At 47.6% G+C, this 13,946-nt stretch overlaps 1 protein-coding gene and 1 long non-coding RNA gene across 6 annotated transcripts in view, besides 1 other annotated feature; both read right to left on the bottom strand.

Moving 5' to 3' along the window:
- The window catches only part of CFAP77 (cilia and flagella associated protein 77), a 163,109-nt gene extending 151,974 nt beyond the window's left edge, over positions 1-11,135 (bottom strand). For all 5 annotated transcript variants that reach the window (NM_207417.3, NM_001282957.2, XM_011518670.3 and 2 more), the window contains exon 1: positions 10,880-11,135. In NM_207417.3, coding sequence (NP_997300.1) covers positions 10,880-11,074 — 195 coding nt within the window. In that variant the 5' untranslated portion in view covers positions 11,075-11,135. The remainder of the gene's footprint in view (positions 1-10,879) is intronic.
- On the bottom strand, positions 5,091-10,705 carry LOC105376304 (uncharacterized). Its single transcript, XR_930405.2, has 3 exons — positions 9,615-10,705; positions 8,031-8,117; positions 5,091-5,538 (listed from the first exon to the last, which is right to left on the bottom strand). It is a non-coding gene; the product is annotated as an uncharacterized LOC105376304 (long non-coding RNA).
- Positions 9,978-10,027: a silencer, noted in NCBI's record as "silent region_20431". NCBI's record gives its function as "represses an Ori minimal core promoter by ATAC-STARR-seq in GM12878 lymphoblastoid cells {active_cell/tissue: GM12878}" and the evidence as "EXISTENCE:reporter gene assay evidence [ECO:0000049][PMID:35858748]".
- Positions 11,136-13,946: the final 2,811 nt, after the last annotated feature.

Genomic DNA, 13,946 nt, shown 5'->3' with positions numbered 1-13,946 from the left:
CTCTTCAGTTCCCCCCCACATACTTGCTAATCTTTGTGTCAAGACTCAGCCCAAGGCCGGGCATGGTGGCTCACGCCTGTAATCCCATCACTTTGGGAGGCCAAGCCGGGCGGATCACCTAAGGTCAGGAGTTTGAGGCCAGCCTGGCCAACTCTACTAAAAATACAAAAATTAGCTGGGTATGGTGGCAGGCGCCTGTAATTCCAGCTACTTGGGAGGCTGAGGCAGGAGATTCACTTGAACCCAGGAGATGGAGGTTGCAGTGAGCCGAGATCACACCACTGCACTCCAGCCTGGGTGACAAAGCGAGACTCTGTCTCAAAAAAAAAAAAAAAAAAAAAAAGACACAAGCCAAGCCATCAGCCTATGAGAGCTTTCCTCATCTCCTTTCGTCCAGGTGAAGATGGAGCTGCCCTCAGTGCTGGGCATGGATCCCATCCAGATGGCTGTGGCCACGTCTGTACCACTTTGCTGTTGATTTTCATCTCTGTCTGCTTCTGCCTGCTAGATTGTAAGCTCTTCAAGGACAAAGCCTATATCCAGGTGGGTTTACCCCTGTATCCTTGGTGCCTGGTACTGTGCCTGGTACACATTATGTGCTCAAAAGGTGTTAAAGAAGTGAGTGAATGAATGCATAGAATCATAGAGTTATTGTTCTGTTCTTCTTTTTTTTTTTTTTGAGACAGAGTCTCACTTGTCACCCAGGCTGCAGGCCGGAGTGCAATGGCGCGATCTTGGCTCACTGCAACCTCTACCTCCTGGGTTCAAGCAATTCTCCTGCCTCAGCCTCCCGAGTACCTGGGATTACAGGTGTGCACCACCATGCCCAGAATTTTTTTTTTTTTTTGTATTTTTAGTAGAGATAGGGTTTTACCATGTTGGCCAGGCTGGTCTCGAACTCCTGGCCTCAAGTGATCCGCCCACCTCGGCCTCTCAAAGTGCTGGGATTACAGGCATGTCCATTCTTGCTGAAAACACCTTGCACATTCCAGGTGATGTGCCTTTGCTCTAGGTGTCCCCTTCCTGTCCTGTTCCCCCAGTGGAATCTAGTCCATCCTACAGGCCCAGCCCAACCTCATCAGCCGTCTGCGCTGCCTGGAAAGCCCCAATACTGCTCCTGCCTCAACGCTTAAACGTGGCATTCTGGCCTCTCATCACCTCTCCTTCCACCTTTTTTTTTTTTTTTGGTCAAGGTCTTGCTCTGTCACCCAGGCTAGAGTGCAGTGGTGTGATCATAGCTCACTGTAGCCTCAACCTCCTGGCCTCAGGAGATCCTTCTGCCTCAGTTTCCTGAGTAGCTGAGACTACAGGTGCACACTACCACACCCGCCTAATTTTTTAAAATTTTGTGGATGCCAGGTCCCATTATGTTGCCCAGGCTGGTTTCGAACTCCTGGGCTCAAGCAATCCTCCTGCCTCAGCCTCCCAAAGTACTGGGATTACAGGTGTGAGTCACTGCCCCCAGCCACCCACTTTTAATAACTTATGAGTTTTAATGTGCAAAGTCTGGTTCTCTCTGATCAGACTACAACTTCTTGGACACAAAGTCTTCAACCTCTTGTGTTTCCTCCGGTCCCTTGCACATTGTAGGTGTTCAATAAATATTTGCTCTTTGGCTGATGGGTTCATTAGCAGTCTTAAATGCATAAAAAGGAAAAAAAAAGCCAATATCTTGGCTCTTAAAGATCTCCTGGGAAGCAGATGGAAAATATAAATGCGATTCTACATAATGGGAATATTATGATGGCATTTTAATGTGGTGACACGGCCAAATTCACTATTGTCCAGTAAAATTAACTAATAAAGCTGCCAGTAAATTTTCTAATTCCCTCAACAGAAATGCTGTGGCCGAAAGATCACCTCTCTCGTTGCCTTTTTGGGTGCCCCATCTTTGTGGGAGGCTGTGGCATCCGAGCTTTGGCTCCCTGGGGCTGCTTCTCTGACGCCACGGCACAGCTTAGACGCTGTGCTATTGGTTACAAACAACCAGCCACCTGGCAGCGGTGTGTCCTCTCACTAATGCCACACATACCTTGAAATCAAAGAGTTCTGAGCCTCCACTTTCATTCTTCTGGACAAACACAAAAGATTTCGATCCACACAAAGAAATTTATCTTGTATGCTTCTGAGTTCACTGGTCTCCCAAATATGTATTGTTTGGTTCATATAAAAGATCAAAAATCCCTCTTTTTGGCTCATTATGTGTTTTCCACAATCCTTTTGGTGGCCATTCTCCCTCCTGTGTGCTACTCATGTTGACCTTCCTGTTCATTGACCCATGTCTGTCAGTTTCTTGCCCGAACCCTGACGTGCCTTTGAGTGACTGGGTGGAAAAATACAGCTGTTTTCTTTATAAAGCATATTTATTTGCTTCCCTGAAATGCTGTATTTAGTGCCACAATGAGAGCATAGAGTCTGTGATGGGGCCCTGGCCCACTGTGAGCTTAATTTCTGGTGTACTCAATCAATTTTGTTTTAAATCTTAGATTAGTTCATGCTGAGGAAAACAAAACCAAACCAAACAAAATCCTTGGAAGTTGGTGCACCAGGGAAACAAAGCTTGTCTACCGGTCAGTGATTACTCAACAAATCAGCCCCTTTGCTAATGAGTTTATCTAATGAATTATTGAGCCACACTGTATGGATTGCTAGAAATGCTTTTTATTTTTTTAAACGACAACATGGGTGAGGCTAGAGATTGACAAGTCTCAGACAGAAGCTAGCAAACTCATGTAAGCTACATTGCTCGGGAAACGAAACGGATTCAAAGGCGGGGATTTTAAATAGCCATAAAGTGTATGAGAGGAAGACAATCGGAAGCAAACAATGGGTAGAGAAGCAATTAAAACCAAACCGGCTCATTTCTAGAGTCTTTGCATTAGGTTACAAGAGACCATGAACCACGGGTGAAGGATAACGAAGTTCCCACGTCTCCTTTATGTCTCCTGGTTTGGGGCTTCTCAGCCTTGGCACTATTGACATTTGGGACCAGAGGATTCCTTGTTTTGGGGTTGGGAGCGCTGTCCAGTGTATAGCAGGATGCTGAGCAGCATCTCTGTCCTCTGCCCACCAGATGCCACCAGCACCCCCTCGCCAGGTGTAATAACCAAAAATGTCTCCAGACGTGGCCCAGTGTTCCCTGGGGAGCAAAACTGCCCCCCTCAATTAAGAACTCCTGGCCTCGTTCCACTTTGCCATAATCTCTTCCATCATATAGTATCTCATTTGAATCCGACCACGTTACAACCTTGAGATGTAGGTAGGGTAGGTCTTAGTACCCAGACTCTCCAAATAAGGAAACCCAGGCTGAGAAATTAAGCCACTTGCCCAAGAACCCTCAAGGGTAAGCTCGGCATGAGTGCTAGAAATTGGATGGTTTCACTCGCAACTAGGGCACATGGCCACAGGAAACAAGAGATGAGGTGGGTGACAGTATTTTTCAGTGAGAGCAGAAGGGGGAAAATGTAAGCACTTGGGTGGATTTGTCTCATTCTCTGTTTCTTTATAAGTTCAGACATTTAACGTTGACTTAAAGTCAATTGCTGAGAACAATAAGGTAGCTTTGAGAAACATAAATATTTGGACTCGGGATAATGGAAAATAACAAAATGCTCACTTATTAAGCTCTTTCCTGGGCCAGACCCTGCCTGCACTGTCTCACTGAACCCTCAAAACTCTCCCATGCTGGGGTGCTAACTATTACCATTCCATTTTAAATTAGGGGAAACTGAGGATTAAAGGGTAAATAGTCTCGTGGGTGGCAGAGCCAGTAAGTGGCTGAGACAGAACTCACTCTAGGATCTGCTGGCTCCAACCTGGCATCTATACCACACTGCTGGCCTTCCTCTCTGCTGAAGTAGGTGCAGTTTTCTATCTGCCTGGGCAGCCAACCTATTTCGATATCTTTTGTAGTTGTGTGAAAAGAAAAACTGCGGCCAGACATGGTGGCTCACGCCTGTAATCCCAGCAATTTGGGAGGCCGAGGTGGGCGGATCACGAGGTCAGGGGTTTGAAACCAGCCTGGCCAACATGGTGAAAGCCCGTTTCTACTAAAAATACAAAAATTAGCTGGGCATGGTGGCAGGCACCTGTAATCCCAGCTACTCAGGAGATTGAGGCAAGAGAATTGCTTGAACCTGGGAGGCAGACGTTGCAGTGAGCCAAGATTGTGCCACTGCACTCCAGCCTGGGCGAAAGAGTGAGACTCCGTCTCAAAAAAAAAAAAAAGAAAAAAAGAAAACAAAAGCTGCAGTCTGGAATCATTTTAACAGCCCTCCTCATTTATACTGTGGTCTTCACATACTGATGCAGGAGCTTGAAGGAAGACTCCAAGGACAATTTTATTTAAAGTTGAATCATTACCAATGACCAACAAACGCTGGCATTAAAAAAAACTAATACAAAAGATCAGCCGGGCACAGTGGCTCACACCTGTAATCCCAGCACTTTGGAAGGCTGAAGCGGACAGATCACTTGAGGTCAGGAGTTCGGACCAGCCTGGCCAACGTGGTGAAACCCTGTCTCTACTAAAAATACAAAAATTAGCCAGATGTGGTGGTGTACGCCTGTAATTCCAGCTACTCGGGTGGCTGAGGCAGGAGAATCACTTGAACCCAGGAGGCGAAGGCTGCTGTGAGCAAGACTGCACCACTGCACTCCAGCCTGGGCAACAGAGTGAGACTCCGTCTCAAAAAAAAAAAAAAAGCCCAGTGTGGTGGTTCACGCCTGTAATCCCAGCACTTTGGGAGCCTGAGGCAGGCAGATCACCTGAGGTCAGGAGTTCGAGACCAGCCTGACCAACACAGAGAAACCCTGTCTCTACTAAAAAACTTACAAAATTAGCTGGGCGTGGTGGCACATGCCTGTAATCCCAGCTACTAGGGAGGCTGAGGCAGGAGAATCCCTTGAACCGGGGAGGCGGAGGTTGTGGTAAGCCAAGATCGTGCCATTGCACTCCAGCCTGGGCAACAAGAGCAAAACTTTGTCTCAAAAAAAAAAAAAAAAAAAAAAAAAAAATCAGATAAGAAGCACTCAACAGTTATAGCATATCAACAGTTATAGCATATGCCAAAAATCAACCAGACACTGGATGAGTGTGACTGTGTGCCTCCCTTGTTTTTGTCCAGCCAACCTGAGATTCTTGAGGCAGGAGTGAGAGCCCAGCAGACGGGTCTAAGGTTTAACACAGCCCAGGTCTCAGGGACCACCGCAAAGCCCTCAGCACACTGTCCTACTCCAAGGGATTCGCTCAGCCCAAAGTCCTATGCCTGGTTACAATGTTCATTGTCTGTGACACATTTTACAAGCATTACACACACACAAACACAGAGAACTAACACCCCAAAGCTAGGAAACTCCAAGCATAGCTAACATGTTGGTGGTCTCCATTGTTAGCATTTGATATAAAATACATTTAATTATCTTGATGTTTTTATTAAACTTTAAATATAAAGATGCATTTTCTTAAAAGGCTGTTTGAATCAGACATTTCACGAGACCTCCAATGCTCCTGAAGACCACAGAACAGTTTGCAAACCACTGCAATAGAAAACGGGGTTTTGAAATTTCGTCCGCAGGGTCAGTTGTAAATGAGGAAAACTTTGTCTTTCAAAATAAGGAACAAGCAGGCAGAATTATACAGTGAGCAACGCTTGAGCCTGGAATGCTCTGGAAGGTGTGAGAAGAGACCTCTGATTAGTTCACCCCAGCCTCAGAATTTTTCCTGGAGGAACGGCCTTCCTGCCACGCCACCGCAGTGTTCTGAGAGCCACGTAATAGGAAAGTGCTGAGTTCAACAGGAGGAACCTGAGTGCTGAGGTCTGCGCTTAATTAACGCTTCAAAGCCAAAGCACACCTTCTTCAGAGGGACAAAGAGGACAGCAGGCTCCTCCGGCAGGGCAGTGGCTGCCCCAGGGTGGTGACGAGCCGGTGAAGGGGGCAGCTCGGCTTTCTGAAATGGCCACGGAGCTGGGCGGGGGGGTTAGTTTCCTGCCTCAGCCCGACTCACTGAAGGATGTACCTGGGCACCCAGAAGTGGGAGACTTTGGTTTAAAAAGAAGAAAAAAGGAAAAAAGGGCCACGAGGGAGAGAGTTGTAAGGATGGATCAACCCACGGCACTCTCTAGAAAAATGAAACTGACCCACTGGCCCTCCAAGATGGGGCCATTAGGATGGGCAGCTCATTTTTAAATCCCTTCCTAAGGTTTTATTTTCTCCTATTACATTGTAATTGAATGTAAAAGGACTGGAGCAATCAGGGGTATATTCTCTTCAACAATAAAGCTGCGTGTAACATTTTCAGATTGTACTCAAATGTAATAAAAATACTGACCCATGCTGGGATATTTGTACAACTGGGCTTTTGTCTGCCTGCCTTCTTTGTGTTGGTCCCTCTCCGTGCCTTTATGTTCGCCAGCATCAATATTTATTAGAGATGTTAAGCTATTAGTGGGCATGGTGTGGTTGCCTAATTTTGTAGAGCATCCAATTTGAACACACTGGCTCTAAATAAACGCTTCCTCGTGATGATAATGATAATGATCCCAGCGGCAGCACTGGGTCTTGTAAACTAGGACTCAAGTTGGGGTGAAAACCTACAAGCATTTAGGAGCCGAGGAGGGCGGAATGGAGCTGAATGACTTTCCCAACTCTGCTTTTTCACTTTTCAAGGTCTGGTTCCAGGTCCCTGAGACCTGCCCAGAACTCCCTTCCTGCAAATCTGAACTCTTCCGGGCAATGCAGCTCACTTGAAAACTTACGGGGGTGGGGACCCATCACAATGCCTGTCTTATTTGTGCATACCTGCGTGTGTGTGTGTGTGTGTGTGTGTGTGTGTGTGTGTGTGTGAATAAGAGCTAACATTTCCCAAGAGCTTTCCTTACAGCAGGTGCTGTGCTAAGCTGCCTGCCTCTTCGCATTCATCTCTATCTGCACAGTTATAAACGTGTGCATGTATCCCATCTCCCCAGCTAAATAGTAAATGGTTAACTCCTGTGAAATTCAGCAACGCTGAATTCTAAACTTGTTTCTATGCCCCCAGGAAAGCTCAGGATGGCACTGGGCACTTGACAAACCTTCAACAAATATTTCTTGGCCGTCAAGAAGTCCTAAGAAATCAGTAGAGCTCACTTTGGAAGGAACATTGAATGAAATGATATTGGGATCTGATTCATCTGTGAACACTTTTTGACTGCCTGCTATACATGATGTCACCAATCTGGATTGTCATTGGTTAATTAATCATATGTTGTGGCCAAAAGAACGTGGGGCTGGAAGCCAGGAGACCTTAGTCTCATCCCAATTCTGCCACCAGGTGAGGATAGCACCTCGGATGAGTCTGTTCCCCTCGCTGGGCCTTGATCTCCTCAAAAAAGGAGGTGGACTAGATGTCTGTAAGATGTCTTCCAGCCCCAAATGCCGTGTCTGCTCTATGACTCTATTTTAAAAATGCATGCACTTCTTATTGGTTACATAAAACCTCACAGAAAAACAAAGTCAATAATAAATTATGAAAAAATCGGGTGCTACGATCTTTTACACTTTCTAAGGGTGCTCGATTCCATAAATTCCACCCCCGTACATAGGCAGCCTCTCCAGGGAGACAGAAGATCCAAGGCTGTCAGGGGAGCAAACCAAGCAGTCTCTCCCTATAATTGTATTGACAGGTTATCAGCTGAGTTCCGATGGCAGGAAAGGTGCAACCCTGACAGGTTTTGTGAAGGAGTCTTGAAGGCTATTGTAGCAGGATTCTATGTGGAGTCACAGAATTCTGGGGAAATGAGAACCAAGCAGGGAGAAGCTTGGTTCTTTCTCTATTTAATTTTATTCTTTCCAGAGAGTCACATTTGAAGGAAAACGGGCTAACTGCACATCACTGTCTATACTAGAGTTGAAACCCTTTCTAATGGAAAATATTTACATCTTTTGTGGCCATGTAAAACACCGACTTGATTCAATCACTCCTATTAAATAACCAGTTGACTTGGTTTTAAATGAGGCAAATGGTTGTTGAGCATCTGTAGATAAAATACCTGCTTGGATGTCTCAGTTTTTCACTTTTCACTTGGTTATGGTGGCAACTTGCAGACGTGTTCTTGAATAACTGATGTGTATACATCCTGGTAAATTTTATGGATGTGAAATAACACTGTTGAGTTTGTTCAGTCAGTATTTCTACATTTTAAATGAAAAAAAATGCTGATCCTATTCATTGGAGAAAACAACCCACGAAACAACCCCCCAATATGGTAGAATAAATGCCTATTTCTAAGGTGCTATAGTCTTCCAATGCACACCTTCAGGTTCAGACTTAGACAAAACCAAAATATACTTTAGTTCTAATCACCCTCCTAAAGACACCACGGCAGAGTGCACTCCCAACCTCTACCATACATAGCGGAAAGGCACACACTACTACGGGGAGCTGAAAATCTATGATGGTGAAACTGACATGCCACAATGAAGAAATCCACAAGCCAAGCTCAGTAGAAATTTCCATAACATGAAAAGAAAAAAATCTTAAAGCTCCACAACCTCACATATTTTCCATTTTCTCTTTTTCTTTAGTCAAAAACACCAAAGTTGTTTCATAATTTTTTTAAAAAAACTAATATAGGAAGCTGTTTGAAGTGGTAAAAATAATGCTGGGCTGGGAGTTAGCAAACGAAGCTGCAAACCCAATCTCTGCCAAAACCTTGAGCAAAACAAACAAACAAACAAAAAAAAAAAAGCACAAAACAAACAAACAAAAAAACCCAAAAAAAACAACAGAGGTGGCTTCAGTGTGCTCATTTGCAAAAAGGGTCCAGAAAAGATAACAGTCAAGGTTCCCTTTTGCGGTCAATTTCTCTGCCAACTTTTATTTATGTCAGGTTTTGACCTCTAAAGTTATAAGATATTCTAATATTATATATGGTAAATACTGAAAAGTGGACGTCATCTTAACTGCTCCAGAAAGTACCTTAAAGACCCCGAAGAACCCACGAAGGAAAGCCAGAGGTAAAGGCTGCCCCCTGGCTGTCCCTGGTGGAAGAAGAGAACCCCAGGCTCCATCATCAGAGAGCACGAGCCTGGACGTGGGTCCCTGCTGCTCCAGCATGGTCACCAGGGGCCAGGGCAGACCTGCTCTGCATCTCGTGCCCTGAAGACAGAACCCCAGTCGTGGGTGAGTCACCTCCTGTACATTTTCCGACCCTAAGCTTGGGTTCAGAAATCAGGGATTGAATTGGTCCTAGAAGCTGTTTAGCTAGTGCCATCCAGAGGCCAAATGTTGTCCTCGATATAGCTGGGTGGGGCGGGGGAAGCAAAAGGAAAAAGGAAAAGAAGGGGGAAATTTACATATATGTACATACATTTTACACATATGTACATGTATATTATACATATGCATACATGTATATATGATAGATGTAAACGGTATGTTATATGGGTGCATACACAAATGCATATGCATGTATGTGTGTGTGTGTGTGTGTGTGTGTGTGTGTACATATTGCTCAGCGTGGGCACCACACACTAACTCACCATGGAGAATAACTCCATACGCCCTCACTTTACACTTCAGTAGGAAGAAGTTGGCTCACTACTAACTACTTGAACAAAAGCAACGACCTAACCTTAATGCAGGTAGTCAGAGGTGGCGGACGTGATTCTCTCCTTCATCCAAGAATAATGGGCCCCACCTGCCTGTCCTGCCTGTCCACTCAGAGTGGCTCTTCTCACGTAGAAGTAAGTGAAGGACCTTGTTCCACTTTGAGAGGCCTAAGAAAGGAGCCTATTCGATGGAAAGGCACGAGTGTGGGAAGCCAGCCTCCCCCAGGTGCAGCCTGCGCCTAGGCAGTATCCTTCCTCCTCTCAGGACCGAGTTTAGGGAAGGCAAGAGGAGGGAGTCAATGTTTTGCCAGGAGCCAATTAACTCAGTTAATTCTAGCACGGGTTCCCTTTTCCCCAAAACAAAAACAAACCGCCACCACCACCTCTGGGCTCTACTCAGCGCCTGGCGGTCACACAAATAATTGTTGTTGAATCCACGGTTACCACCTGCGCCTTCCACTCCCGCACCTGGGACGCGGGGCGCATTTTTAAAGGCGCACTGCCCTCCAGCGGCGCAAGATAAATTCGCCTCGAGGCTTGCTCCCTGACCCCCAAGCCTCAGCCTGACTTCTCCAGTGGCCCCCGGGAAGGTGTGGCCGCCACAGCAGTGTTGGTTTCCCATCAGCGGGAAGCGAGGCTAAAGGTGGGGAGGAGGGAAGTGTAATGGAAGGGAAAGTGATCCAGCCCGAAACCGCAGCTCCCTCATTCTTGTCTGCGGAGCCTCCTAGGCCAAAGATTATGCTTTTTTTCTCTTAGGGTTGTAATTTGGGTAAGAAATTAGTATGATCGAACGGAAATGAACATTCGACGTGATGCTTCCAGGACAGACACGGAGCCACCGCTGCATAGACGTACCCCAGGCGTGCAGCGGAACCGGAGAGGCGGCCTTTACCCTGGGAGGGCTGGCAGCCACGACTTAGACTGGGCGTGTGCGACCTATCTGTCACCCTGTGGGTTCACTCTGTGGGAAACCACAGCAGCACCCATTGCAGCCTTACCCCATGTCAGGCGCTGTCCCGAGGTCCCGCAGAAATTACCCTATTCAATCTTCCCAATCAGTCCCTTTAGTGGTGCCATTATCATCCCACTGTGAGGATGGGGAAACCGAGGCTGAGAGAGGCGACGCGACCTGCATGGGGGTCCAGGCCTGTCTGGACCAGAGCTGGAGCTTCCCACGCTGCGCTCGGACCCCGGGCCGCGGGGCCAGGGCGCTGCGGGTGGGGACCCCCGGCGGCGCAGGTGCCCGGAGCCGGCGACAGCGAAAGCGCGGTGGGCGTGGGGTGCTCACCTTGACGATGAGAGGGTTCTGAAACATGGAGTCCCGCACGACCCCCAGCCGCTCGTTCTCCATGCCGGAACGGATGTCCGCCACGGTCAGGGGCCGCCGCGGGGGCGGGCAGACCTGGCTGACCGTGCGGCGCACAGGCTGCTGCTGCTTCCTCCATCGCGTGAGGTCCGGGCCGGAGCTCCTGGCCTCTGGCATCCTTGAGGTCGCCGGGGAGCCGGCCCGCGGGCTGGTTTGGGCGCGCTTCCCCACGTCGGGCACAGCCTGGAGCTCCGAAGGGCCTGCCGGGCGGCCCGGGCCGCACCACCGGGATCCTGAGGGGGAAACTCAGATGCCAGGACCCCTCCGGAGCCAGGCGCGCCCCGCTCGCGCCGGCCCCTCATCGCAAAGAGCCCCGGAGCAATGCAGGAGCCCCGCGGGATCCTCAGGGCGTCTCCTGGGCCCCGCGTTGCAGACTGGGAGAGGAAAGAAAACCAAGACCACCCCTGGAGGACGAATGCAACGGCCCGTCTCCTTGGCGACGGGACGCCAACAGAGCCCGGCTCGGCTTGTACTTTTCTTTCAAGAAACTCTTGGTGGCTACCAGTGTGGACTTGTTTGGAGTTTTCCTGAATCGATACAGGAGAACCGAGAATCTCCAGTGGGTTGCGTTCAAAGCGGCGTGGCTCATAGAGGGTCATTTACATTTGTCTTCCAAGTCGAAGACTCCATCCTCTGCTCACCCCCATTCCACTCACAACCCCTCCCCACCTCTGCTCTTTGCGCCACACACACACCTGAGACAGAGCACTAAATGCATTCCAAGCCTGATGCTGATGCTGACCCACTGGGAGGACTCGGGCAAGTCACCCTCTTGGATCCTAAGGGCTTTTTTTCTTTTTTTCCTGTGAGATGGGTGACAAGGAAACGCTAGAGTTGGATTACATCAATGGTTCCCAAATTTAAGCAACAGAATGAAGGGAAATTGAAAAATACAGATTTGGGCTGGGCTTGGCTGCTCACCCATGTAATCCCATTGCTTTGGGAAGCCTAGGAGGGAGGATGGCCTGAGCCCAGGAGTTTGAGACCAGCATGGGCAACATGGTGAGGTCTCATCTCTACCAAAAATTAAAAAAATTACCCAGGTGTGCTGGCACACACCTGTGGTCCCAGCTATGGGGGAGGCTGAGGCAGGAGGATCACTTGAGGAGGTTGAGACTACAATGAGCCGTGTTTCGGCAACTACATTCCAGTCTGGATGACAGAATGAGACCATGTGCCAAAAAAAGAAAAACGAAGATTCACAGGACTCACCCCAGACTCACTAAATCAGAATATCTGGAAATGGCATCTGAGGCTCTCCTTTTTTTTTTTTTTTTAAGAGACGGAGTCTTGCTCTGATAATGACATGAGCCACCTCACCAGGCCAGATGCTGCATTTTTAAAAATCCCCTTACCCACCCACCCACAACTTGGTGAAAAAGTTCAAACCTACAGAAAAGTTGAAAGTCGAAAGAAGAATACAATGAAAATACATATAGGCTTCACCTAGATTCGGTTAGATTTTGAAGGGAAGGGGAGGGTTAAAGAAAGAGTGGCGGCTCTACAGCAAATTCAGGCTTTATGTCCAGCATGAGACCTACAGAGGTGGGAGACCAGCTTAATGCCAGTGCCTACCGCTGCTTACAGGCTGGAGAAATTATAGGCCTGGGCGGGGAGGGGCCCGGTGGGTATGGCCTGCTGCCCGGGAAGATGTTGATAAGGTATTCCCATGATGAGGCAGTTTGGCCCTTGTTCTGGTGGAACGTGATGTTCCTGTCACTTTCTCCCAGCAGAATATGATAAGAGGCAGGCTGTTTCTCACTGCCTGAACCCCCGTGGAATGTTTCACTTTAAGCAAGGTCTGCAAAATGGCAGGGGGCTTACAAAATGGTGCAGTTTGGACTAACAGATTCACCCGTCCCCAGCACTGGTCACATTTTCTTGCTCTCTCTCTGTGAGCATGCACATACACACATTACAGAATCACCTGAAAAATATCTGTCAACACCATATTTAACCCTAAGTACGTCATCATGTAGCAAGGACATTCCCATGTGTAACTACAATGTCATTATCATGTCCGAAGATTTTAATGTGATACAATAGTGTTTAATATAAAATCCATTGCAAAGTTGAGACTCTGCATTTGAAAAAAAAAAAAAAAAGCTTCCCAGGTGATTGGTGCAGTTGGAGGAGGATTGGAAACCACTATTGGAGTTTTCCTGAATCGATACTGGATGATATCTAATCTCTCCTCTAGTGCCAGCCTTTTGTGGGTTCATTCATGCATCACTAGCACCACAAGGCTCTGGGTAAGTGGGGTCACCACAGAACACGTGACACCAATGACGGACCTGGACTTCAAGGCCTTCCATATCAACAGTGGACAACACCACATTTACAGACTTCTCCAGACGGAGCTCCAACTGCACGTCCACATCCCAGAGCAGCCCTTGCATGGCAACATGAGTACATACATAGGCTCATCGTTTCTCCAACCTGCTTCCCTTCCAGACTTTCACGGAAGCATAGTTTGTGCATTTTTTAATCAAAGCCACTTGGCAGATCACATAGAAGTCAGGTGGAACAGTGAGGGGCAAGATAGTGGAGTAGTAGAAAGAGCATAGGTCTGATTTCTGGCTGGCCCATTTAAGTCACCTTGGACAAGTTACTGTAAACCCAGGTTTCTCATCCACAAGGTGGGGCTAATAATACCTCATTACAAGGATTAAGTGAGAAAACTTGTTGCCTATATCGTATATGTTCACTATCCAAAAAGGTTAAACGTTTGGTTGGTAAATATAATGGCCTCGAATTGATGGCCAGGTTAAAGCTGCCCTTTTGGCTAAGTCTCTTCAGGACTCTGTTGAAATGGGAAGACTGGGATAGATCTCCAAAGCTCCTGCTAACTCTAAACTTCTGAGACTTCATCCAAGCTTAACATCCATCAGCCTCTGCACCAGATAGCCCCTGCAGACCTCTGACTTCCTCTCCCACCCCCTCCCCTGCATTCACATGCATTCACTTAGGCTGGGCGTGTGCGACCTGT

Source organism: Homo sapiens, chromosome 9, assembly GCF_000001405.40.
Source record: "Homo sapiens chromosome 9, GRCh38.p14 Primary Assembly".
In the NCBI taxonomy this organism is placed as follows: domain Eukaryota; kingdom Metazoa; phylum Chordata; class Mammalia; order Primates; family Hominidae; genus Homo; species Homo sapiens.
The sequence above is the reverse complement of the archived record's forward strand: the minus strand, read 5'-3'. Positions and strand labels throughout refer to the sequence as shown.